The sequence below is a fragment of the Homo sapiens genome, chromosome 16 (genome assembly GCF_000001405.40).
Source record: "Homo sapiens chromosome 16, GRCh38.p14 Primary Assembly".
NCBI classification, from domain to species: Eukaryota; Metazoa; Chordata; class Mammalia; order Primates; family Hominidae; genus Homo; species Homo sapiens.
In genome coordinates, this window is record NC_000016.10 from 79,392,159 (window position 1) to 79,420,082 (window position 27,924).

General features: G+C 46.6%; 1 protein-coding gene across 5 annotated transcripts in view; it reads right to left on the reverse strand.

The window, feature by feature from the left end:
- MAF (MAF bZIP transcription factor) overlaps positions 1–27,924 on the reverse strand; it is a 398,116-nt gene that overhangs the window by 189,537 nt on the left and 180,655 nt on the right. The gene's annotated exons all lie outside the window — the stretch shown is intronic.

The following is a 27,924-nucleotide window of genomic DNA, read 5'->3' on the forward strand; positions in this document are numbered from 1 at the left end:
GGAAGGAGAGAGGGAAGAAGGAAGAGAAGAAGGAGAGACAAGAAGAGAGAGGAGAAAGAAAAAGAGAAAGAAGGAGGGGGAGAGGAGAAAGAGAGAAAAGAGTAGAAGGAGGAGGAGAGAAGGAAGTGGGGAGAGAGAGAGTGAAGGAAGGAGAGAGAGGGAGGAGGAGGGGAGAGGAGAGAGAAGGAAGGAGGGAGGAAGGGAGAGACAGGGAGAAGGAAAGGAAAGGGAAGGAGGAGAAACAGGAAAAGAGAAGAAAAAGGAGAGGAGAAAGGGAAGAGAGAGGAGGAGGAGAAGGGAAGGGAGTGATGAGAGAAGGAGGGATGGAGAGATAGGAGGAGAGAGAGAGAGAGAGAGAGAAACAAAGCCAGTAAACAAGAGAGGAGATGAACACGGGTGGAACCAGCTGTAATAGGCCACGGCTTTCCTATATTACCTTATTTGAGCCATTAGCCAAAACAATGCCTAGGATGTTTACTGATGAGGTTTTACAAATGAACGAGGATTCAGATTTGTTAGGAAGAGGGTGAGACTTAGAGCACATGTGAAACTCAGCCCACACCGCCATGCTGAGTAGGTAGCCCAGTAGGACCAAACCCAAGTCCATCTCGCTATCCCCACAGCTTCCCTACCTTTGGCATGTGAGAACCCTAAGTTGCTTAAACACCTCTCAGGTGCCAAACTCAAGAGATGCCTGTGGGAATCCACTGCTGTACGGCCCAAGTTTGGGGGTTTCTCTGCTTCCCCCTACAGCTGAGCAAATGGAGACACCCCAGTAATGGTGGACTCATTCCATTCCAGGCCTTGGCAGCTCCTGCCGCCCTCTCTTAAAAGAACAATTAAAAGACTCTCTTCCAGGAAGTTTTTTTTCTCCTTTCCAGGACCACTGTCTGGGCCCCAGGGGTAAAACATTCCCTTTGCTCCCGTCTCCCTGGCAGGAAATCTATGCAGAGAGGATGTTGATTATACTCTTCAGCACTTATTTCCTTTACATTATTTTGATTCCGTTATTTCTCATTATACTCCCAATATGTTTTGGCAGCCTGAGTTTGCAGATGGGAACAAACAAAGGCTTCCACAATTCCTGGGCTGTACCTACAGACTGGATTCCAAAGGGATTTCTTTGGGGGTTGGCTATTCCCTTGCAGGGTGGGTCCAGTGGCTGGTGCTAATTTCCATGGTTGGCGAATAGCCAGGGCTGGCCAGCATTCCTGAGTGACAGGATTCCTAGGCAAAGTTTGCAGAGGTTGGGCTATCCAGCGCTCTCTGCCTCATTTGATTGAATTAGGACCTTCTTTCTGAGTCTCTCTTTAAAGAGGATAATGCAGAAGACCACGGAGCTTTGTCCTCTGTCCTTTCATTCCATGATACAACTTCTGCCTGATTAGACCTCAGTGCTGGGCCTCCTCACTCTTTTTTAGGGGAATTAACCAGCTCCAGCCCCTGGGTGCAGCAAGGTTCCTTCTCTCCATCCCAGGGATCTAGATCAAGGATTATTCCAGAAAGGTGGTCCATGCAGAGGCAACCTTGTGACCTGGGACATCGATGCTTGGCTAGCCAGCTCCTCTCTTTTCTGGGCCTCTGAACTTGGACATTAAAGGGCTGAGTCAGCAATTGGCAGGATCTAAAATCAAAAGAGGTGTTTACGGAGGAGCTGATGAATGCTGGGCCAAGTGAACCTCTGAGGATGCAAAAGCAAGAAGCAAACAGAAGAAGGTGGTTGATGATAATGAAGTTAACAATAGCAGCCAAGTTGTATGCTTTTAAGTATTTCCATGTGCCAGGTACAGTGCAAAGAACATTGTATGTATTGCCTCATTTTACGCTCCCCAAACACTCTGAAGAAGGTTTTGCAAAGCACCCTATTTCACAGAAGAGGAGACGAACGCTTCACCACGTGCATGTTCTTCTAAAGTTCACGTTCTTCACCGTCATTCTCTGTGTGGTTGCCCATGGAGTTCTCAGCAAGGAGAGCAAAATAAATCAAAAGTCCAGAGAGAAGAAGAGACATCACAGACAGTGATGGAGAAGGCCTGGCTCAGAGCTGCTGCAGACACCTTTAGGTCTAAATTCAGTCTGGGGCAGAAAACAGCTTCCTTTCCTTCTTGCGGCAGCTTGATTGGATCTCTATTCCTGGCAGCTAGGAGTCAGGAATATAGAAATCTGGAAATCTTCCTTTCAGACCCTGTTTACAAGTGATTTCTGCCGGGAGGCTCTCCCTGACTTCCTCCTTGTCCCACAGGCCAAATTGGTTCCTCCCTCCCCTGGGCCTCCCAGGAAGTCAGCTCATGCATCTTTTACTGCCTGCATCTCACTGCATTTTGATTACTTGTTTACGAATTGTTTTCACAACTAGATGGGGCACATACTCTTCTCTGTCTTCCCAACTTGAGGGGTATCCCATGACCTCTCTGAGGTTCAGTCCCTCATCTTTAAAATGGGTCAATATCAGTACTTCCTTCATAAGGGGTTTGGAGGATTTGGGCAGGAGAACTCATAGAGAGCAGTGATTCTCCAACTTGGCTGCACACTGGAATCGCTGGGGCACCTTTAAAACACACAGATGCCTGCCTCCCATACCCAGACACTCCTACTCCAATTTTTTAGGTCTGGGGTGCAACCTAGGTAGCAGGTTTTTAAAGCTCTAGGGTGATTCTCATTTGCAGCTGAGTTTGGGAACCACTGTCATACAGTATTTAACACACATTATAAGTGTACCAGAACATCTGCTGTTAGGAGGCCATGGTCCCAGCTGTACTCCACAGTGGTCAAGAGCCTGGGCACTCCAGGCCAGCTCTATAGCACAGAGCATATAGCACAGAGCTTAATACATAGTAGATGCTTATTAAATGCTTAGTAAATTTATTCATTACTCCAATGAATATATATTGTGCCAGGAATTGTTCTAGATCAAGAATCTACCCCAGGCGGAGAGAACGCAAGAGCCAAGGGCCTGGAGGTGTGATCACAGCCCAGGTAGGAGGCCAAAGCGGTGGGCACTGGGACACGTGTTTTGCGATGAGGTTGAAGGGGCAGCTTAGGCCTGAGCCTGTGCCTGTCAGGGCCTGGATGCAAACCAAGGAGCTGGATCATATTCTGAGGGCAACAGAAAGGGTTATCTCCAGGTGGGGTGACACAATCCAAAGTGTGTTTTAGATCCCACAGTGAGGGAGCATAGGTTTGCTAAGATGGAAGATAGGGGTACCAGGTTGAATAGGGTTTTCTCCAGATTCATGTCCACCAGAACCTCAGAATATAAGCTTATTTGGAAATAGGCTCTTTGGAGTTGTAGTGAGTCAGGTGAGATCATAATGGAGGAGGGTGGGTCCTAATCTCAACACAGAAGTCATGATAAGGAGACTGTGGAAGACACAGAGAGGCACTGAGGGGCAGGAATGCCATATGACGGGGGGCAGAGGTTGGAGCATCGCATCTGCAAGTCAAGGAATGCCGGAGCTTGCCACCCACCAGCAGAAGCCAGGAGACAGTCATGGAACTGATCCTCTTTCCTGGAGTTCCTTCAGAGTCTCCAAAAAGCAACAAACTCAGCCAACACAACTTGATTTTGGACTTCTGGTTCCCCAAGCTGTGCGAGAATAAATGTGTGTTGTAAGCTGCCAACAAAGTTTCTCATCATGTGTTACAGCAGTAAGAGGGAACTCAAACAGTAGGGAGAGGTGGTCTGGGGATGATGAAAGAGGACAGGGCAGTGAGAGAGAACTGGCGAGACAGGCAAGAAGCAGGAAGGCAGAAGAGAACGAGAAGAAAATCAGACCTGGTGGCAAATGGCCCCCCCGGTGGCATTTGGAGACTGAATAATTGCCTCAGTTCCGGCTCTCCAAGGGGAAGCTTTTCCTCAATGTCTTGGCATCTTGGAGATACTGGTCATTTTCCTACTTAGGTATAAGAGATTGAAAGAGGAAATGACCCAAATCCCTTATGCGTAGAGGATCTTAAGCACAATCTGAGAGCTTGGGCTGCTGCATAAAGGGTGTTTGTCCTGCAGGACAGGCCTCCTCCTGAGACACAGGTGAGGGGTGAGGGTGCCAGGAGGCCACACTACTGGAGGCTTGGACGCAGAAGCCATCCTGGACCTACCCCAGTTCCACATGGACCAAGCCTTGTGAGTCACTGCAGCTTTTAAAGAAAACACATAGGTTTAACTGGATGCAATTAGAGGATTAAAACTCTAGAAGAAAAAAGGGGATGCTCACAGCAAAAGGAGTTTTGCTCTCATGGTTGTTCAAAGAAGTGGAAACCACAAGATAAGAAAAAGCTCGATTCAATTTTTATACATCCCCAAGATGCAATGCACTCTTCTGGAAAAAGCCTCCTTGACCCACTAACAATATCCCAATAGGAAGGCATTGTGTGGTTAAATATGAGGGTTCTAGAATGTTCTGATTCAATTCCCAACTTGATGGGTATCCCATGACCTCTCTGAGGCTCAAGTCCCTCATCTTTAAAATGGGTCAATAATAGTACTTCCTTCATAAGGGGCAGAAGAATGCGTAGAGAGCAGTGGTTCTCCAACTTGCTGCACACTGGAGTCACTGGAGCATCTTTCAAACACACTGATGCCTGCCTCCCATACCCAGACACTCTAATTTATTAGTTCTGGGGTGCAACCCCAGTAGCAGGTTTTTAAAGCTCCTAGGGTGATGTGAATTTGCAGCCGAACTTAGGAAACACTGGCATAAAGTATTTAACACACATTGTAAGCACTCCAGAATATCAGGTTTTAGGAGGCCATGGCCCTAGCTCTGCAGTGGCCAGGAGCCTGGGCACTCCAGGCCAGCTGGCCTTGCACAAATATCTACCATGCTGTGGCTATGCACCTGCACGAGTCATTTATTACCTTCTCTGAAGTCGGTTGACTCATCTGTAAAATGGGACTAAAATGCCGACCTCATCCAGGTAAGTTGCCAGGATTAAGTGAGCCAACCAATGGATGGAAGACATTTACTGAATGTCTGGGCACACAGCATAGATTAAATACAACCTACTGTTTGAATTAATCATTGCTTTGGTTTGAATCCTTTGGCAATCTGTGTCTTCCACAACCATGGGGCCACATGCACTGAGTCTTTACCGTGGTTTTCTTGCCCAAGAGGGGGAAAAAAAAGCACGGGATCTCATCAATGTGTGGAGAGTTAAATGCAGATTAATGCTGCTTTGTTCTTTAAATAGTGCAGAGCATATGTCTTACTCTGTGTTTATCTGCCTGTCAAAATCAATGGTGTAAATAATGAAGTCGTGTGATATTTGAATATTTCTACTGCTCATATTTTTTTCATTCTAATTAAAGCCAGAATGTTCTTTTTTAGAAATCAGTATGAATAATAAAAACCCAGCTGCCTGACTCTAATATTGTAGTTTTTGTTAAAACATTTTTTTAACAAAAGCAAAGAAGTGTGTGATGATGACCGGCTGGATGTAACCGGCTGGTTGCATAGATGATGGACCATCTCCTGGAATTCCTGACATCCAGGGCTTGCTAGTTCCCTGCCCTTCCTGGACCCTGTGTTATCAATGCTTTGCAGGGCATAGCTGTGGGCACTGATAAAAGGCATTGCTATCCTTGGGGCCAGGCTGGCTCTAAGGGTAGAGCCCCCCTCCCCGGTGAAGAAAGGCATCCTTAGGACCCCAGGAAGTTAGAAGAACCTGAGGCACCTCTGGCCATGCCCCAGCCAGGGTGCTGCTGATTCTACCTACCTAACCAAGGTGACCAATAGGCCTGATTCTGGAGAGAAAGATGTATCATTTTTCTATTGCTGCTGTGATAAATTACCATGAAGGTAGTCACTAAAAACAACATAAATTTATTATCTCACAGTTCTGGAGATCAGAAGTCTGACCTGGGTCTCGCTAGGCTAATATTAAGGTGGTTTCAGGTTCGCATTCCTTCTGGAGGCTCTGGTGGGGAATGTGCTTCCCTGCCTTTTTCAGTTCCCGGAGGCCACCTGCATTCCTTGGCTTGTGGCTCCTTGCTCCATCTTCAAATCAAATCACTCCAACCTCTGCTTCTATTGCCACATCTCCTCTCTCTTTGACCCTCCTGCCACTTTCTTATAAGGACCTTTGTGATTACGCTAGGTCCAGCAAGATAATCCAGGATAATCTCCCCAAGGTCAACTGATTAGTGACGTTAATGCCATCTGCAATTTAATTAACTTGCAGTATGGAAATTAAATTAACTTAATTTTCCTGTGACATATTCATTAACAGAGCATATCCCCATTCATATTTGCATACTCCTCAGGGATTAGAGCACAGATATCTTTTAGGATGTGGGGCAGGGATGGGTGCATTATCCAATCTGCTGCAGAAGAGGAATGAGAAGATGGAGGGAGATAATATTGCCTTCCAGGACTCATGGAACCAGGTAGCAGAGACGGAGTATCCTAGAGATAGAAGTCTGATGGTATCAACATCACAGGCTTGTGGCTGAATTCTGTGCATTTGTGTCTATCTGTATGTGTGTGTGTGTGTTGCATGCTACATTGACACAAGGCTCTCTGAGGTCCCTACCTTGGACTTGACCTCCCCATCCATAATGAATGGCAAATCTCCCACATCAGCCTGCCCTGCTCAGCTAGGCCCCTCTGTCTGGCATTCTCTTACTCATTTTTTGCACTTCTCCTACTCAACCCCAAGACTAGGTTCAGATTCTCTCCCCAGTTGAGCTAGGCCAGGCATTCTCTGCCCCATTGCAGGCTTGGTTCAAGGAATACATCCTAGCCCCATGGCTCCCTGGAAGAACACATGCCTTGCTCCATTCTGATTGCCTGCAGTGTTGTCCATCTCCCTTACTGGACTGTGGGTTCCAAAGGGCCGGGAGAGATTAATCTGCCTCTCAAGTGCCCAGTTCTTAGCATTATGCCTGCAATAGGCACTCAGTAGACAGACAAGGACTGACCTGGTCAAATCCCTGTGACGTTGAGAGGCAGTGCTCCGTGGGCGTTGGAATGGACAGACCTGCCATTGAATTCCTACTCTAGCCTTGAGTAATTATAGGAAACTTTCTAAGTGCTTTGTCATCCTGGAACCTCAGGTTTCAGATCTATCAAATGGGAATAAAGATAGCATTATGGGCTGTGCTAAGGAGGAGGTGAAAAAATTCTTTGTAAAGTGCTCATGACAAGACAACTATATATTAAGTGCTCAATTATTATTATATCATCATCATCATCACATGTCTTGAAAGGAGGGAGCACTGCTCACCCTTTGTTAGTTAAAGATGGTTCAGTAGGGTTGGCTGGAAAAGTATTCTTCAAATTGACTGCAAAGTAGAGCTTTGGTCCCCATAATTTAGGTGATAATACTGAGGCCTAACATCATGGCTTCAGCCTAGTCAGAGGGCAAAGAAAACTGACACCAATTCCTTGGGTTGTTTTCCATTTTTCAACTAATTTTAAAAAATCAGGGGCTTGTCACTGATACGCCCCAGCCAGGGAGGGGTGTTTTTGAGGGATAGAAGAGGGTAGAAAGAACCAATGATACAGTTTCCAGAGCCCTTGAGCTAAGAAACATAACCGAGATCAAGGCATCAATAACATAGGAAGGCGGAATCATGCACCTGCTGTCTTACCTGGCTATCAGGTAGAAGGGGGTTACCAAAGCAGGGTGAAGATTCGTCCCAGCTTGCCCATGATGGTGCCAATGTGTGCCTGTATCCTTACTTAATTATTCATAGTCTCAACTTTTCATCTCTAAAGGATCCTAGTTGGACAATAAATTACGTGGCCACACTAGTCGAAGCTCACGTGGGTTAGTACCTGCCCAAATGTAAACTTAACCCTGGCAAAGACATCATAACCAAGACCACCATTTCAACTAAAACCATAATTGTGAATAGTAATGGCAGTACCCGACACAGGTCTAGAGCAGTCTATTTTGCCTCCAGGGGAGAGTTGACAATATCTAGAGACATTTTTGGTTGCTCCAGGACAGGGTAGTTGCTATTGACATCTAGTGGGTAGACACCAGCAATGTGGTTAAACATCCTACAATACACAGGGCAGACCCCACCACAAAGAATGAATTGTCCCAAAATATCAGGAGTGCCACAGTTGAGAGGCCCTGGGCTAGAGAACATCCCTTTGTGGCTTGGGGTGGTAGGGTAAGGATCCGAGATCAACCATTTATTTTCAAATTCTGACTACAACTTGTGCCAGTTGGGTGGCCTTGGACCATTTCTGAACATCACTCTGCACAGGTTCTTCTTCATCCCATGGAATAAGGAGAATTCCAACCCCACAAGGTCTTAGGAAGATTTAGTAAACTACGCCCTGTTGTGCTCATAGCACAGTGCCTGGCCTGGTTAAGTACTACAAACATGAGTTGGAGTTTATACTTCTGGGGAGCTCTTTGCTATGCATCACGTCATTTGTTTCCCAGGCTCCTCCACTCTAAAATGGGTAGAAGAATACCCCCTTCACGGGTTTCCCAGGAGGCGAAAGAGATAATCTGTGATCAAGCATCTCCTGATTGGGATCTGACTATTCCAGACCACTCTGCAAAGTAAACAGGTCAGACATTATCTCTGCCTGCAAGGCGATTTGATAGAGACCCTATACCCGGAGGCAGGAGCCAGGACTCCTGGCGCCCAAGTTTTGGCCTTGGCCATCATGTTTGTGAAACTACAGCAGTCGACTTTCAACCTTTTGTTATTGGGAATGAATGTTGAGAAATGGCCTGGGGTATCTTCCGGGGAAGGAGGAGCTGCCACTCCAGGCCCAATCCTGTCCAAAGTCTGAGCAGCTGATCTGCCTGTCACAGGGAGAGGCATGATAAACACAGCAGGGCTCACACATACACAGGCGTCCAGCCCTGGGGCCACAGACTCTGTCCGCTGATAAGGAGTCTTGGCCTTGTTCTCAAGAACTTCACCAGGAAGTGGTGAGGTCGGCTCCCTTGGGGCTTTGAACCTTGCCCCTCACCATCTCCCAAGGCCCTGCTTCATTTGGGACAGGGCGTGGCGCTGGGTCCTCACTCCTGATCAGAGACCCCCTTGCTCCACTGCCTATTCTCCCGCGTGGATTTCTTTAAGCTAAGTGCATTTCTTGATTTCCTTTTTCACTCCCCAAACTACCTGTGGTGGTTAACTCTGTTTCAAATAGATTCCGATTTAGTTTTTCTGAGCACTTACTGGATACCAGACACTGCCTTGCCATTCTCTCATGGAACTCTCTCCTAGACCCCATGAACGGTCATCCACTGCCAACTCCAAACAGGAAATGCAGCTCAGAGATGTTAAGTAAGTTGCCCAGAGTCACACAGTCTTCAAGTGGGAAAACTGGCATTTAAACCCAGGGTCTACTGAGAATACACTTCATATATTTTATTGGAGCAGGGAGAGCTCCTCCCTTTAAATTGTTGCTCTTTCTACAAAATAAGCCAGTCTGGGACATTAAATTAATTAGTGGAAATGTACTCATGAACTTTAGAGAAAGAAATGATGCCAGGGTACCACTCTCACATTCCAGTGTGTACCCATACAAAATAATAATAGTGATAATAATAATAATCAATGAAATTTTCGGGCCGTGTGGTACGCAGAATACGGAGACCAGAAGGGAAGCAAAGCAATTAGTGGCTATCATACAAGAAAGGGAAGACAGAGTCTAGGACAAGAGCTGCTGAGATGACAGCTGTGAGATGAAATGTGTATCCCCAAGTAGGAAGGGGTTTGGCTAGGGTCATTGATGGTGGTTGGCTGCCCTGGCTCCAGGCCTGCCGCATGCCCCTGCCATCAGTCAGCTCATTTAATCTTTACAAAACCCTTGAAAATGGGATGCTATCATTACCCCCATTTTATAGATGAGGACCCTGAGGCCAAAGAGGTTAAATGCCCAAAGTCACACAGCTACTAAGTGGCTAGAAACATGGACTGTGGGATCAGAAGAATGGGAGGTTCAATTCAGACTCTGTCATTCTCTAGCTGCCTGAGGCTAGCAGCTTAAGCTAGCAGAATTGCTGAATTTTTCTGAGCCTCTGTTGACCTACCCATCAAATGGGGAGTGTGGCAGTCCTCTCTTCATAAGACCTTTAGGAAGCAAGTGAGGATTAAATAAGATCATGAGCATTTGCTTGACACAGTATCTGAAGGACAGAAACAATGGGTAAAAAAGGCTGTTACCCAGGGTTTAAACCCAGGTGTGGGTGAGAAGGAGAGAGAAAGCGAGCAGGAGACAGATTCTGCTGGCTTGGAAATGGGGAGCAGGAAGGCCCCTGCTCTCAGAGAGTTCAGGCCCACACCTAGCCCTTTCAGAGGCTACAAGCATTCTTCCAGGGGCCTCTCACACTTCCAGGCCCAGGTGGCCACAGGGCGCATTCCTGGAAAACACTGGGCCAGTGGGTGTGACGGGGGAGAGGTGGGGCGCTGGGTGGGGCCTGGCCTACCTCCAGGAGCAGGGCTGGCGTGCAGGCTGAGGCCAGAGGAAGGCCAAGGTTAGCCAGCCCAGCTCCAGGGGAAAGGTTGGAGGTGCCAGGGGTGCGGTTGGATAAAGGCCAAAGGGCCCAACTGCTTGGCAGGGCAGGTTTCTGGAGCCCCCATGACTGGCACCAGACCAAGAGGGACAGGGATTCATTGGCAATGACGCTGGATTAGGACACTCTTTCCTCTTGCTCTGTGGAGGCTCTCACTGTTGTACCTGCCCATGCCTGGGTGTCCATGGGGGAAGTTCCAAGGAGTAGAGGAGGGAAACGTCTCAACCCACATCCTTCAGCTGAGCCCAGAGATCATGAATGGGGTTGAGCTGGGCACATGTGGAGGTTGTGGAGCCTTGGGAGTCCTTGCCCACCCATGGTTACCCTGTTCTGGCATGGAGAGGGGCTGGGCCCTGGTTGTGAGCAGACCTGGGTGAAATCCTGCCTCTCTCATAATGGATTTCAGCTCTTTGATGTGGCAGATGACTTCACCTGCATGCCAGTTCTCTTATCTGTGAAATGGGAATAACTGCAGTAAATGCCTCGTGACATCATCGCATAATAGCCAGCACCTTCTGGCATGTCGTTCAATGCACCAGACTTTCTAGTGTATCCATGTTTCCCGCTAAAATGTATGCCCATCAAAAGCAAAGACTCTGTTCCATTCAGCTCCCGATTTTCTGTAGCTAAAAGAAGCCCTGGAGCGGTATAGGGGCTCAGTGTATGCTGAGCAAATGTATGGGTAGAAATCACAAGCTCTCGCCTGGGTTATCAACCTAAGAGGCGAAGAAGAAAGGCAGCCCAGAGTGCTTGAGACAGCCTCAAACGCAGAAAGGTCTCAGCATCAGGATTGCTCCAGTATCCAGGGCAGTGGATCAAGTGCCCGCCCCTCACTTCCCTGCCTCTGTGCATGCCCACTGCCAGGAACACCCTCTCTGGTCAGTGCTCATCCTTCTCTTTGCCTCCCTTAATGCCACTCTTTAGGTTTCAGCCCACATTCAAGCTCTGCCAGGGGCCTTGCCTGACCCACGAGGCTGGGTTGAGTTCCTCTTCACCTCTGGAGTCTAGCAAGGCTCACACCATGGTGAGATTATTTACTTGGTCTCCTATATGGACTATGAAACTTGAGGGCAGGGATAGCAACCTAACATAGGAAAAACATACGATCTATATTTCTGAACAAAACAGTAAATAAGAGGGTGGCTCAACAACCAAAGGTCACCAACGACATCACAGGGACAGCACTTTGAGGCTCAGATGGATTTCACAGAGAGCCTTTCTTTGTGGCATGGATGGCTGGGGAGGGCGAGAGGCATGTCTTCCTTCCATGGTGCTTCTCTCCTGGAAAAGTTGAGAGTTTGGGCAAAGTGGAGGAGGGAAGTAATAAAACAAACTCACCTCCGTCCATGCAGTGTGGACCATGCATCACCACGTATTTCTAAAAACATTTAGAATTTGAAGAAACCCTGTGAAACACTTTCCACCTTGATCTGTTTCCATTTTTAACCAGAACCTACCAGTGAAGATGTCCGATTTGTAGGAGCCCTTAACATGCATTTTACCGTCTGGATTTTCTTTTTTTTTTTTTTTTTTCAGATGGAGTCTCATTCTGTCTCCAGGCTGGAATGCAGTGGCACAATCTCGGCTCACTGCAACCTCCGCCTCCCGGGTTCAAGCAATTCTCCTGCCTCAGCCTCCGGAGTAGCTGGGACTACAGGTGCCCACCACCACACCGTGCTAATTTTTGTATTTTTAGTAGAGACTGGGTTTCACCATGTTGGCCAGGATAGTCTCGATCTCTTGACCTCGTGATCTGCCCGCCTTGGCCTCCCAAAGTGCTGGAATTACTGCGTGAGCCACCACGCGTGGCCTGGAATTATTTTTAAAGCATTTTCCCCTTGAAGAGCTAGAGAATGGGTACATCGAGGAGAGACTGATTCTTGACAGGTGTCCTGAGACCTGCACTTTACTTACCGCATGGGGTGCCGCAGAGTCAATGAATGACACACATTGAAATGACAAGCGCTTCAATCTCTCCTTTTTTTTAAATTTTTTTTTTTGCAGCCTGAATACTACTTATTCTTAACTGTGAGTGAGACTGGGTACGTCTCCCCAGTGGATGACAGCCATCACAAACCGAATTTGTGAAACCCAAAAAGGGAAATCTCAGACTGACATAGGCGTGTAAACTCAGCTTCCTGGTTTTCAGCGCCACTGAGGGGTGGCAGCTAATGAAGCAGCAAGTCCCCAAATGTATTTTTTCCCCATTACAAATCGCTCCCCTCCTTCTCTCTCTCTTCTCCCCAGACACTTACAAATTCACTCACTCCCTCATTCTCTCCTTCAGCATGTACTTATGGGGTGTTTACAGATTACAGATGCTGTTGGTTAGTACCGAACCACACAGGTGTCACTGTGTCACCGGGTACTGGAAGATTAGATGGTGAGTCCCACATGCTGCTCCAGTGTTCCTTCTTCAGCGTGGGTGACACTTTGGACTCAATGATCTCGAATACTCCCATATGCAGCAGTATGGCAGTAAATCCATGTCATCTAGGAATCCATCAGCACTCTGAGGGATTTATCCTAGGACCCCAGGGGAGAAGGGAATGTCCAAAGGATGGAGGGGCCATTCTGAGATACTACCCTTTGAGGTGTCTCCCTATGTTCTCATGAAGTCTGAGCAAGAGGTTCTGGGCACCTACATGGGGACATCACTTCATCCTCTGGGTGAAGAAATTCACTGACCTGAGCCTCACAGAAACAAAGTTTCAGATGATCTAAGAAATGAAGGACTCCCAGAAACCTGGAGAACAACAGGCTGCATTACAGACTCCTATTAGTTGAGAAAGTAATTTACCATCTGAGGTGACAATGCCACTGAACAACTTTCATTGTCTATGTAAACATGGGGCATAGAAGTCACTTCTTCCTCCTTGCTCTCTTGTCCCAGGGAGGAAAGCATGGTTTTGACCCACACCGTTTATCCCTTCAATTCGCCTTAGTGCAAAACACACAGTAAAGCTGATTTTTCCAAATAGCAAAACATTTAGGTCCTGAAGAAAGACTTCGAATGTTCATACAGATCTAAGTTGTGACCTTAACTGTAGTAAAAAGATCCATCCTTTAGATTATCAATGATCATAACTAATAGTCACTGAGCTCTTGCATTATCTTATTTAGTCCTCAAAACAGTGCAAAGAGAGGTAGGAGGTGCTCGCCTCATTTTGGAGAGAAAGAACTTTGGACTTCAGGTAGCAGATGCCACCCGTCAACCATCTCATTTCCTCCCAGGCTTTCCCATTTCAATGCACACCATTCACACTTCCAACTGCCAGCATCATCAGTATCTCACTGCCCACGGCTTCTTTGGCTGCAGAAGCCCACTCTGTTCATGGGTGTAGCAGGCCAGAAGCCACAGAGTAGCCCTCAGCCAATGGCTGACTGGGGTTGGTGTATAAATACCCCAACTCCCTCACCTCTGAGGCTCATGCTTTACATTGCCTCCCAGAGGTCCCCAGTGAGATTACTTCCAATTGCCCACAGTGACCCATCCATGGCCTTTGGCTGTTCCCTGCTGCTTTCCCTACACGCCTGCAACTGCTTCCCAGGATCTCCTTCCAAGTCAATTACTTGCCTTCATATCCTGTCTCAGGGTCTGTTTCAGGCAGTAGCCAAACCAAGACAGAGTGGTCTGGCACGTCCCCAAGGAGCATAGGATTCACATGGTTTCTTAGTCTCTTTGGGCTGCTATACCAGGATATCATAGACTGAGTGGCTTATATCAACAGAAATTTATTTCTCACAGTTCTAGAGGCTGGGAAGTCTAAGATCAAGGAGCTGGCAGATTTAGTGTCTGGTGACACTGAATTTAGGCTGGCTTCCGGGTTCAGGTTCATAGATGGTGCCTTCAAGCCATGTTCTCACAGGGTGGAAGGAGCGACCTCCCCAGGGCCTCTTTTAGAAAGCCACAGATCCCAAACATGAAAGTTCCACCCTCATGATCTGATCACCTCCCATAGGTCCTACCTCCAAATACCATCACATTGGGGGATAGGATTTCAACATATGGATTTGTGGGGAGTGGGGCATCAACATTCTGTCTATAAGAAGAGTCAGATCTGAGATTTGACTCTAGTTTCCTATGACCCCAAAGCCTGTGTTTTCAACCGTAAAACGGATGCATTACCTTATGGTGCTCCAGATCTCTTTCTGTACATGTGCCCAAGAAGGGCAGAGCCGCTTCCTGCCCTTCCTGGGACAGAGGAAGAAAGAAGACAGTGGACCTGATGAGACTTGCCCCACATCCCAGAGCCAGTAGGGGCTGGGCACTCTCCTAACTCCTTGTCTGATGCTCTCAGCAAACCGAACAGGCAGACTTCTGGAGCTGCAGGGACAGTAGGCTGCCGGCGCGTCACACCCAGCCGGGAAAGAAGCACCTAACTTCTCCCGATTTGCTCAGCCCACTTCCAGCATGTGCTAATATGCGAGGTTGGCACCAGGGAGGGTGTCGTCTGGCAGTGCTATCCTTCATATGGAACATTAAGCTGAGGTCCTGCACAGTCCTGAACATTAACCATCCCCTGGTACCCATGAAGAAGAGCTACGGGTTTTATTAACCTCGGTGTCCTGGACGCGTTGCGCAAGGAGTGCCATCATTAACCCACCTCCAGACGGGGGACAGGGGCCTCTTGGCTAGCTCTGTTCCAAGCACGCAGGCCCTACGAAATGCCATCAATAATTTAAGGAAACTACCAAAATGTGACCATAAAGGATATAACTTCACCTCAAGGATGGTGATCCATAAAGATTTTGTGATAGTAAAAACTGCTCTTTGTTCTGTTACAAGCCCTTTGAAAGTTTCTCTCTCTTCCTCCCTCTTTCCCTCTCTCCCTCTGCATGTGTGTTTTGTAGTGGGGGTGAAGTCCTGTAATCGTGTTCCTGCAATTGGGATTTAGCTGAACTCACGGTTTAATTATTCCTAACATCATGGCCATGGCACGACCCATTAACAACAGCTCAGCCTGTGTTAGGAAGTCCCCCTGGTAATCTCAGAAGCACATCATATCACTCATTTTTTTCTTCATGTCAGAGATTTTTTTTCTCTACTTCCAGACATATGGCTTCATTATAAAAATGGAACAAGCACAAGAGCACCCCTCCGTCCTGACACAAGTTGAATTTAAACAGAGATCCAGTCGAGCCGCCCCACGAAGCCAGGTTGCTCGCGGCTTCGTTTCATGAATGCCTCAATTCCTGTGCTGGTTGATGCACTTTTAATTTGCATCCTTTATGCAGGCTTACAATTTGCAGCTGACAGACAAGGAAAGGGGCGGGTTATTTCAGGGCCAGGAATGAGTATCAAGGATCCTAAGAGAGGAAATTCCTTCTCAGAGGGAGATCGACCCTCATGACAGTTTTACACATGAAGAGGCGGGCGCCATAAGAGAATGAGTGATTAACTACATGTATTTGGCTTTTTACCTTTCAAAAAAAAAAAAAAAAAAAAAACCTAAAGGCGTGGTGGAGGGATGGTTAAAAGCATGTGCTTTAGCTTCAGAAGAACTGGGCTAACATCGTGGCTTTTCTTTTCTTTTCTTTGTTTGAGATGGACTCTCGCTCTGTCACCCAAGCTGGAGTGCAGTGATGGGATCTCGGCTTGCTGCAACTGCCACCTCCCGGGTTTAAGAAATTCTCCTGCCTCAGCCTCTGGAGTAGCTGGGATTACAGGTGCCTGCCACCACGCCCAGCTAATTTTGAATTTTTAGTAGAGACGGGGTTTCGCCATGTTGTTCAGGCTGGTCTCAACCTCTTGACCTCAGGTGATCTGCCCGCCTCAGCCTCCCAAAGCGCTGGGATTACAGGTGTGAGCCACCGCACCCAGCCACATTGTGGCTTTTCTACTTATTATCTCATTGACTTTTAATAAGTTGCTTAAGTTCGCTGCACCTCAGTTTCCTTCTCTGTAAACTGGAACTAATAATCTGTCATAAACTTTCTTCCTTCCTTCATTCTTGCCTTCCTTCCTTTCTTCCTTTTTCTCATTCTTCCATCCTTCTTTTCTTTTTTCACTTCCTTCCTCCCTGTTTTCCCCTCCCTCCCCTCCATCCCTTTCTCTCTCCTCCACTCCCTTTTATTTCCTCCCTCAAATAATGTATTAAACACCTACTGTATTCCAGAAACTAAACTAGATACTAAGGATACAGAAAAGAATAAGGGGAATCCCTGCACCCAAAGGCTTCATTCCAGCTTTGTTAAGAAATCAGATGGGGGGTCATATAAGAAGCACTTCTCACATTAAAAAGAGTTATAGAAAAAAGAATATTTTTATTGTAACTGTAGAAGTAGGTATTTTTTACTGCTTTTTTTTTTTTTTAAATTAGGATTGCACATAGACCAGAGTTTTCAAATTGCGTGTGTCCCCACCTACCATAAGGGGTGGGTGGGTGGGGGAGTCACCTAGACTACAGTGTGAACAGCACCTGGAGTTGTGTAGCAGGACGGCATTGGAAGGATGATCAAACAAAAGGTGTCCAGGTTCTCCTCCTCACTCTCAACCTGAACAGAAACTCTTTTTAGGCGCCTTATAAATTGGGCTTGTATTCTAGGGATCCACTTCAAATAGAAAAAAACAATAATATTTGAAATCTAGTGATCTTGGGGTTCAATAAATGCCTTTTAACTGAGTCAGCGATCCAAACGTTGGCATGGAAAGGAAGTCGCGCTGTTTTCTTGTTTTCCAAGAAATCTGTACAAGAAGACTCCCAGATAGCTCTGTCCTTATTCTGCACACTCAGAACATTTTCAATTGAAGGCTGAGAGACATCTGTGTTTCTGAGCCTGCCAGGTGTTTGTGAACCCTGTGTAGCCCACTGGAGCTGAGTTCAGCTTGCTCGATAGCTTGGGTCCAGCATTTCCCATGACAGGAGCCCGTGTCTTCACATAACAACTGCTGGGCTCTCTTTGCAGGCCCGAAGCCCACCCAGGAGGAGTGATTTGATTTACACGGAGTAGTAATAACCCTCAGCCAAACCCAGCTCACTGAATCCCTCTGTAGCTCCTGGCATGGTATAAACAGCAACGCTCAATTGCCCAGAGGGTTGGCTGCAGCAAAACTTGGGGAGGAGGAAGAGGGTGTGAACAGAGACAGGAGAACAAACTTAGAAGGCCATCCCTACTCTACAGAGGCTAGATCAGTGCTGTTCAGTGGATCTTCCTGCTAAAATGAAAATGTTCGATATCTGCACTAATCCCATAGCCACTAGCCAAACGTGGTGACTGAAGCCTTGAAGTTTGGCTAGTACGACCCCTAAACTACAGTTATTGTCAATAACTTAAAATTGTTAAAGTGAACTAAATATGGCCTGAGAAAGACTCCATACCTCTATATTTGAGTCCTTGTGGATGAATTGCAACCTAGCTTAATAGGTACACAAGATTGAAAACCTAACTTAGGAGTATGCACCTGTAACCACAGCAGAGTCTTGGCGAATCCCAGTGGCCATACTTCAACCACTCATACACTGCTGAGTGTTCAAACTGTGTTCAAATAAGGCAAACATCGAGCTGTAACCAATCCAGCCGTTCCGTACCTCACTTCCGATTTCTGTACGTCACTTCCCTTTTTTTGTCTATAAATCTTTTTCCACCACATGGCTGCGCTGGAATCTCTGTGAATCTGTTGTGATTCTGGGAGCTGCCCAATTTGCGAATCTTTCATTGCTCAGCTAAACTCCTTTAAATTTAATTCGGCTGAAGTTTTTCTTTTGTCAAAGTTAAATAGCCACATGCCATTAGTGGCCATCATATTGAACTGAGCAACTGCGAACACACTCCAAATTTCTATGAGTAAATCAGCTCATTGCAGAAGATCATTTCCTATTCAATTCACCTATGTGGTCCACAGATAATTAGTGTACCTTCAGTATGAATCGTGCCCTGCGCTGGGTACATATGTGGAAGGAAATACAAAGTTAGACAAGTCCCTGATCTCAAGGAGCTGCTCACATTCTGTTGAGAAGGTCAACCATGGCAACCAGTAACATGCATGGCTGTGACATGGGATGAGGGCAAAGAAAAAAGAGTAGAGTGAATGCAGGAAGGCTGCATGGAGGAGGCAGCATTTGAGCTGCTCATATAAGGTTAAAGAGTTGTTCATCTTCCAGAGAAAGGAAAGAGCCTGGACAAAAGCTTGAAACCATCGTGTGACCATAGATGGCAGATGACTTGTAGGGGCTGGGGTTTGGGTGTGAATCAGGCCTGATTGGAGGCAGAGAGGCCAGAGATAACCCTTTGCATAGAGGTGGATACCTGACAATGAAGGACCTTACGTGATGTTCCAGGGAGGGGGGACCTGACCTGAATTTAGGATCCCTTGACTTTTCCTTAGATATCGGTCTTAGGGACCTTAAATGCCCTCACTAGTTCCATCCATTTTTCCTTCCTCCAAGACCAGCCTGAGTACTGCCTTCTGCAGAGACTTCCTTTGATCTTGCCTTTATTCACCAACTCCTCCCTTGTCCCATTTTAGTTTCCACTCCCCAGTCACTATTCAGGTGATTTTCCATAATGTCCTTGATTTTGTTCGCCTTGCAGTTTTCTCACAAGACCTCGAAACCTTGGTGGCTGGGACCTCGCCTTTCTCGTTATTTTTTGTCCCTCAAGCATTCAAGACAGGTGCTCAGTAAATAACCTCTTTGGTGAATTAATTGGGTTTTCTATGTCACATCCCTATTGACTTGGACATGAACATCATCTAAATAATTCTAATTCCTGTATTATGAACACTTGAGTTATCTGCCCCATATCCATCCCCTGAACCTTTTATTTTGTGTAACCAACCTCAGTGTCATTCAAACAGGCCTCTGAAGCCTGCATGACAATGAACATTGGGGAAAGCCCTGGAAATGTTTGCAGGGCAGAAGATGAGAGCCCTGCAGGGGTCTGTTTGGGCTTCTTTTCATCTAAGTCTGGTGACTTTTGCCCTGAGTGATGGAGGCAACCTATAAATTGAGGTGAATCACCTCAATTACAAGTCATTACAAGATTTAGCTGTGTGATGCCAGACATCTGGCCAACTCCAACTACTATCTTTATTTACTGAATTACTCTGTGCAACTTTCTAGACACACCATGATTTGGGCTCCCCCAGGCTTTTCCTCTTGCTGCTCACTCTTCCTGCATGTTATGCCTTTACCCACAGAGCTATTCCTCTTCCAGATCTCTACTCTGATCTTCAGGTTGTCTTCCTCAACCACCCAGGCAACCTCGGCACTCATTTCTGTGTTTCCTCTGCACCCTTTAAAAACATATGTAGTAGGGTCACCAGAGAGTTAGATGAGATGGTGTCTGGATGGTATGAAAGCTCCATAAGTGGCAGTAGTGTTGCTGTTGTTACCAGTACCACGATAATGACTCACTTTGTGCGACACCTTGCTTCCCTTGTGCAGACTGAGCACTTAGTACACGTCAGGCAGAGAGTGAGTGTTTTCTAAATGATTGAAATATATGAGGATAGTCTCAGATGAATGAGCCAGGCCTTAAGATTCACAGGCCTGTGACTGGGGGTAATTTAGAAATAAAACATGCAAGTACAATATGGCAAAGATGAGCTTTCAGGGAGGCTGATGTCAAGAGCACAAGTTCACAACGGTGAGGTACAGTTGTGTTCAGATAAAGGGCCAGTTGACACCCTAGAGGGTATGATTACCGTGGTACCAGGTATGTGCAGGTGGCAGATAAGCCACCATGTGGAGGTGTTGGGGAAGGGCCCTATTGGCTTTAGGGTCCCCATGTCTGTGTTTCCTCCATTGTGAGTAGTACACAGCCTTGACAGACATTGGTTGAAATCCCAGCCCTATTGCTTGAATGTTCCATGAAGTATCTAAATCAAAATTTATCCACCTGGGCACTGACATTTGGGCTGGGTAACTGTTGTAGGGGCTGTCCTGTGTATTGCAGGATATTGAATAGGATTCTTGGCCTTCACCCTTTTGGCCACAGCACCTCCCTCTCAAGTTGTGGCAGTTGCGCCCAGTTGAGGAGCACTGCTTCAAGCTAAGCCTTGGTTTTCTCAGCTATAAAATGGGGATCGCAGTTCCTGTAGATAGGCTCCAGCAGTTGTTGTTAAGATCAATGGAAGTAACATGTATGAAAGGGCCTACTCCAGAGCTTAAAGCTGTCCTAAAGGACAGAGGAAAGACAACCCTCCCCCATTCACACCCAGAGCGTTCTGGGAGGCGGCACTAGAGATAATATGGGAGGAGGTGATCCATCAGTGCTTGTCCTGAAATCTCACAAGAGTCAGCACCTTGGGCTTCGCCTTGCCCTGTAGGTATGTAAATAGGGGATTATCAGGGTCAGCATCTGTGAGAGTTAAAGCAGGAAGTCCTTACAGCTTCCTGTAAAAACACAAGTGACAAACTTGGATAAACAGTAAGTAGAGAAAAAAATATTCCTATATTATTGCCAGCCCCAAGAAGCCTCTCTCTCTCCTTTTCTTTCTCATAAACTCATACATACTCCCCAGGACAAGTTGTGACATAAAACAGTTGTTACAAGCTTCCATTATGGAGTTAGATTTGTGCTCCAATTCCAGCTCTGCTACTTGTGAGCTGTGCAGTTTTTTTTTTTTTTTTTTTTTTTTTTTTTTTTTTTTTTTTTTTTTTTTTTGAGACGGAGTCTCGCTCTGTCACCCAGGCTGGAGTACAGTGGCGCAGCCTCGGCTCACTGCAAGCTCCGCCTCCCGGGTTCACGCCATTCTCCTGCCTCAGCCTCTCCGAGTAGCTGGGACTACAGGCGCCTGCCACCTCGCCCGGCTAATTTTTTTTTTATTTTTAGTAGAGACGGGGTTTCACCATGGTCTCGATCTCCTGACCTCGTGATCCACCCGCCTCGGCCTCCCAAAGTGCTGGGATTACAAGCGTGAGCCACCGCGCCCGGCCGAGCTGTGCAGTTTTGATCCAGTTACTTTACCTCTCTGAGCTATATCTTTCTCTCTTTAACCAGGGATAAAAATGAGACCTACTTCATAGAGTTATTATAAGCATTAGATAAAATAACATATGTCAATAATGTATGTATTTCACACACAGATAATCTCCATTGTGGGATCAGGTGCCTGAAACCCAGGAAATACTCGAGTAATATTAGTTATTTTCCTTCTTAGTAATAATATGGTCAGCAATCTTTCCGAAGAGGCAACCCCTACTCTGCCAGGGGAAGGGTGGTTTTGTGGGGTAAAGCACATTATGATAACACATCGTTCATTCGAGAAGAAAGATTGGCAAAAGTAGGCCACATTCCCAAATCCAGTGGGGAATCAGTGAGTGTGCTGAGATGGAAAGAGGATGAGCTTTGGGGCCAACACACCTGAGTTCAGATGCTGGCTCCATCAGTAGCTGGCCAAATGCCCTCAGCTGTCTGAGCTCACAAATCCATCCTTCCTGTACCTTTTAGGTCACTGCCTAGTCTAGTACTGCCTTTGCCAGCTTGGTGGTTGAGGGTGTATACCTCATACATTCTCTTACTTATCCACTTAACAAACATTGGCTGAGCTCTTGTTCTTTGCCAGACACTAAACCAAGTGTGAGAGTGTCTTGGTCCATTTTGTGTTGCTACAAAGGAGTACCTGAGGATGGGCAATTCACAAAGAAAAGAGATTTATTTGGCTTACAGTTCTCAAGCTGTACAAGAAGCATGGTGCCAGCATCTGCTCAGCTTCTGGTGAGGCCTCAGGAAGATTTTGCTCATGGTAGCAGGCAAGGGGAGCCAGCATTTCACATGGCAAGAGAGGGACAAGAGAGAAGGGAAGATGCCAGGTTGTTTTAAAAATCAATCAGATCTCATGTGAACTAATAGAGTGAGAACTCATTATTACTGTGAGGAGGGCACAAAGCCATTCATGAGGGATCTGCCTCCAGGACCCAAACACCTGTCACCAGGCCCCACCTCCAATACTAGGGGTCACATTTCAACATGAGATTTAGAAGGGACAAATATCCAAACTATATCAGTGGGATACAGAGGTAAACAGACACGGACTAGTGCTCAAGGAGCTTGAAAGCTGGAAGGAAAACCAAAGTCTCAAAGAGATGGTTTGGGTAAGAGAGAAATCATAAGGAAAGATGCAGCTGGGAGCCAAGATCAAAATGGAGTTTTGTTAATCAGGAAAAACTGTATTAGACTCTGTAATAACAAACAACTTCCAAATATCAAAAACTTAAAGATGCACATGCACGTGATATCCATTGTAGGACCAGGGAACTCCTCCACGACACTAGTTCATGTGTTGTCTTAGCATTCTAAACTGTTCAAATCTTATGGGATTTCCATGTCATAGGGTGTCCCCAATCACTGAGGCAGGGGAACAGAGACCACAGGAAATTCTGCACCAGCTCTTGAATGCTTCCATCCAGAGTTGACATGTTTGTTTCCCTTTGCATTTCATTGAACAAAACTATTCCCATGCCCAGGCTTAACCTCAAAGGACTGTGTGCCCTGCAGGAAGCGAGAACTAGAAATCTTTGAGAGCAGCTCTAACATTGTCCTCAACCACGGATGAGCTCACCCAAACATGGAGAGCTACACGGGCAGGACTCTTGTTAGTTCATTAGCACTTAGCAAAGTGCTGGGCACAGGATACAAGTCAACAAATTTTAGAGACAGAAGGAAAGAACAAGGAAGGAAGGAAGGGAGGGAGGGAGGGAAGGAAGGGAGGAAGGACGGAAGGAGAGAAGGAAGGAGGGAGGATGAACAGGCAGGCAGGCAGGCAAGAAGGAGGAAGGAGGGAGCAAGGAAGGGAGGGAAAGAGGCAAGGAAGGAAGGAGGGAAGGAAAATTGTTGGGTGGTTCAGGACTCTAGCCATTGAAAAATCTCTCTACTATCCAGGAATAGAGCTATGTGTTGGGGCAGAAGTCCCCTTAAATTAGGAATGGCTCAGGTTGTGAGGGAGGCTGGCAGAGATGCTGCCTTGCTCAGTGTGGTCAGCATTCAAAGCCTGGATCACTTTTCCTTCTGCAGCTACAAAGCAGCTTGCATCCTATGGTTGCCTCGGGGCCACTGACAGCTCTGCTCTCTCTCTAGGCCTCCACCCCTCCCTTCTGCTTGTGCCATATTAGAAAGGGCATGGGCTTTGGAGTCAGTTAGACCTGGGTTTGATCCTGGGCCCTCCCCTTTCTATTGGGTGCCTTTGGGGCTAGTTATTAAAAATCCCGGAGCCTCAGCTTCCTTATCTGTAAAACAATGGCAACTCTCAAGTCACAAACCCCTTGACAAATCTCAGCTTCCCTCTTCTCTCCAGGGGCCATACTCTTGCATCCCTTGGTGTATTGTATTACGGTCCTTAGAATGTCCCTCCCTATGAAAATCTGAACTTCCTACCAAGCATCCCTCTTGGGTGAGACCTTCCCTACCTCCTTTTAGCAAAGTGCCGTGTGTCTGGTTGCGCCCGAGCACAGCACCTGTCTCCTACCAGCAGCACTGACAGAGGGGATGTGCCCAGCTTTGGGTGGGCTGCAGCTGCTGTGTGTGCCCCTAAGCTGCCACCCGCGGCACAGGATGGAAGTGGGGCGATTGCTCACTGCTAATAGTTAGACAACGACACCACCAGGAGATGGCTGAGCTGTGGCAGCAGAACTGCCTCTGATTCTGTTGTGGTCTGATGGAGTTCTTGGGGATTGAGGGACCTGAATTAGGTCATCCCTTTCATTCATTTAGCCATGAGTTATTGGGAAGCGTCTCTGTGACAAGCTCCATGTCAACATGTTGGGAACACAGTGATATGTTCCCAGCATGTGAAACAGGCTTTACTCTTACAAACTCTTCGAAATATAGGTGCTTCTGTTTCTCTTCACGGTGATACACTACATTTGCAAGAATAAAAAGAAGGAAGTGGTTTATGGTTAAATTGCAAAAAAAAAAAAAAGATCAGGCATTTACTGTGACTTTCATAGAATTGAATATTTTTAAAGCTGAAAGTTTTAAATATCCAGGAGGGAGTGGCCGTACCCCCACTCCAGTTTTACAGATGAAGAAATAGAAAGGAAAGACGTGACTCAGATATTGTTCCTGGGAGCGCGGTGCTCCGAATGGTCAGTTAGCATCAGTTCTGTCCAAGGCCAAGAAATGGAATTGGGATTAGAAGACCCTGCTGACCAGAGAGCATCCTATGACCTGAAGCAGCTTGCTACCCTCTCCCTGTAGAAAGTTGGGGAAGCCGCTGTGTTGTTTTTTGACTATTTCTTCATGGGTAAAGGGGAGACAATGAAGTGTTATATAGTTTTAGGAAGATGGTAGACAGCCTTTTGTTTTTTACTCATGAAGTATTACAGTGATGACTGTGACAACAATCATAATTATTCTTATTTGCACACCAGCACACCAGCTTTATATTCAAGTTAGAAACATGGAATCCAGGCAAACATGTTGTTTCCACAATGCCAGAATTCCCAAGACATGCTATGAGCCGAACTCACAGACGGAAAGGGTATTTTTTATGCCTTCTTTTAGCAAAAGTTATTCAGCCAGGGGCACACCATTCTCATTTTCATTTGAGGCTGAGGAGGTGCCTGCAGCCGACCCCTTCCAGCAGACTTGGGCGTTCATAGAACCTAATTCTTTAATGGACTCTGGGTGCATTTCTTGCTTCCATCTTGAGGTCATTAAAAAGCCTGTGGTGAACTACACCGACATAAACCTTTTATAGAAACAATCAGATATCACTTGGTAAAATAATTAGCATCAGAATAGCACAAAGTCAGTCTGTCTGCAACTTGGTGCCAAACATCAAAAGAACTCCTGGCAGTATCTATCCCCATTCTATTTTGAAGGTGGAGGGGATACTTCTCCCTCTCCCAGCCGGTTTCCAAGGGTGACCCAAAGGTTCAAGTCATGCTATTTGGATGTGCGATGTTATTATGGGCTGGCGGACTGGTGGTCCTCAAAGTGGGCTTCCTGCACAGGATCATGGGAAAGGGGACAGACAACCGAAGGAGGGAGGGCTGGGGCGAGCAGAGGTTTGGAGGCGGGGGTCCCCAGCCCTACCGAGCCTGCCTAGCCTGCTTCCCCTTCTTGGAGCAGTACGGTCCTCCGTCCCCTCCCCACATGGCCCTCTAACTTCCTGCTTGGCTGTCAGAGTGTTTTCTCTTGTTGACCAAATATCAGGAGCTTAGTTTTGTTTACAGCTTTTGGATAAAATATCTCAGGAAAGGAGTGTCCCTCTTGAGGCCAGATAAGACGCTGCTGGAGAGCTCCACACGACGCGGCACACGTTACTTTCCACGATAACGCATCCGTATTTTCGCCTGGAAATGGGAATTCTTAGAAATGATAAATTGCAGGGGTCCTCTGCTTCACCCCGGAGAGTTTCCCCCGACTGGCCTATGTGTGAGTGTTTTCCTCCTGCGCGGGTCTGGCCTTGTGCAAGAGGCAACAGATAATCAAATTGTTGAACTAAAAAAGAAAAAGAAAATCCTTGACCCTTTTTTACATCTCAAGTGTGCAACTGGCCTGAGGAAGAAAACAGGGACCTATCTTCATTGCCAGCCTGAAGCCGGATGATTCCCTCTCATTGTGTCTCGAGAACACAGGCTCCAGCGCGGCTGGGCTTGAGAGACCATCTTCTCGTGTCTCCTTTAATTTAGCTGATAGATATGAAAACGAGTTGAGTTTTAAAAATAAATAGGCATTTCTCATTATCTGGGGACAGTTTTCGGGCTGGGGCCTCACGGTCAGCTGGGAGCAGCCACAGAGAAAAAAAGAGCCCCTGTTCAGCCACACAAAGCCTGAATACCTGTGTCCTACGTTGGGGCTGGGGACGATTATTCACTCATTCTGTTGTGACAGACAGAAAGAAAATTTAGCAAACCACAAAATTTCCTAATTAGTGCGCTGGGAGTTCTTCCGATGGTAATTTGGAACAAAGGGAGGCAGCCCCGTGGTGAGGGGGCAAAGGAAAGGAAAAATAAAATAAAATAAAACAGGATAGATGGGGAAGGGCGGGAGGCGTGCTCACTCTAGGTATGGAAAGCAGTTCTGGAAGTTTTTCTTATGCAACAGAATTTTTTTCTCTCTCCTAGAAGCTGCTGTTCACATATGGCAACATGATCCCCGGGCGCCTACCATATGTAAGGACACAAGGTTTTATGACTTATTGTCGCTAAGATTTATGGAGATGATATATGATAAGCAATTTTTCATTATCTCATATCAGGAGCAAATGCAGAGAGATGCAGGCTCCTCACCGCATGGTTGGGTGGAGCTGCAGGCCCCAACACAGGGCCCCACACAAACTCCGTCTCCTGCTCCTCTGCTGGGGGCTGCTGCCTTCCCCATAATAAAAGAACAGCCTGTGGTACCAGCAGCAACAATTTATTTGATTAAAATGGGCTACTCTGGAGCTATTTTGTGGTATGTTAATAAGTGCTATATCACAGACATTTATTAAATTAGTTTTCATAAATGTCAGCAGTGTTTGCACAGGAAATACACCAGTCTAAATGTGGACCAAACTCCGAATTAACTTCCCCCCTCAGGAAAATGGACATTTCTGCCAGGGTGAAGGTGTGCTGGCCAGGTAAGGGCAATCATGGGGTGCTCAGAAGTTTAATATCAGCATGGGCCAAACACAGCAGTTTTGGCTCCCAGCAGCCTCCCATAGAGGGAGGATTTGAGGAGGCTGAAAGGAAGGAAATGACAGAACTCGACACTTCCTTGGAACAAGGCTTCAGCCTTTGGTGTCACAATATTTCACCTTTTCCTTACGTTTGACTCAGCACAAATGGACAGAGATTGAGAAAACAGGACACAAGAGGAAGTGGAAATTTCTGCTAGAAGCATCCTAGGTTTGGAAATCAGTGATTCTGTCCTCAGTCGCCTTACAGTTTCCATGCCGATGGCAAGGCAGGGAGCTTATTGATGAGCCTGTTTCAGGCTTCCAGGCTTAGCCGCACTGAGCCGGGCAACTCTCTGGTGTCTAGGATGTTCCACCTCTTATCTTCCATGTCTGTTCTGGAAAAACAAGATCTGACCCGTTCCTCTTTGAAGAAACAGACAAAATGAGAACAGCCCCACTCAGATGATTTTCTGGAGCCGGGGAGATTTTCATCACAGATGCCACAATTCAGAAGAAAACCTAGACCGAGCTCACCTTGGCACGAGGAAGAAATCATCTTTGTATACCTAATCAAGAGTGCAGGAAGCTTTAGGGACACCAGGGTGGCAGTGTCACAGCATCACCATGATCTGTTCATCCATTAACCACCCTTACTTTGCAAACTTTGCTTTCTTTGGTCATTCATGATCCAAGGCATTTTAAATCTCCCGGAAAAAAAAAAATGTTTTCCACTCACACTTTCCATGGAGAGTCCTGGAGTATAACCAGTGAATTCAGACAATTTTTCAGAGGGTAACACACGGTTTTTTTTTTTCTTTCTTTAACCCATTTGACAATTCTCCTGCATCTTCTTCAAGTAAACATACTGCAAAAGTGACTGT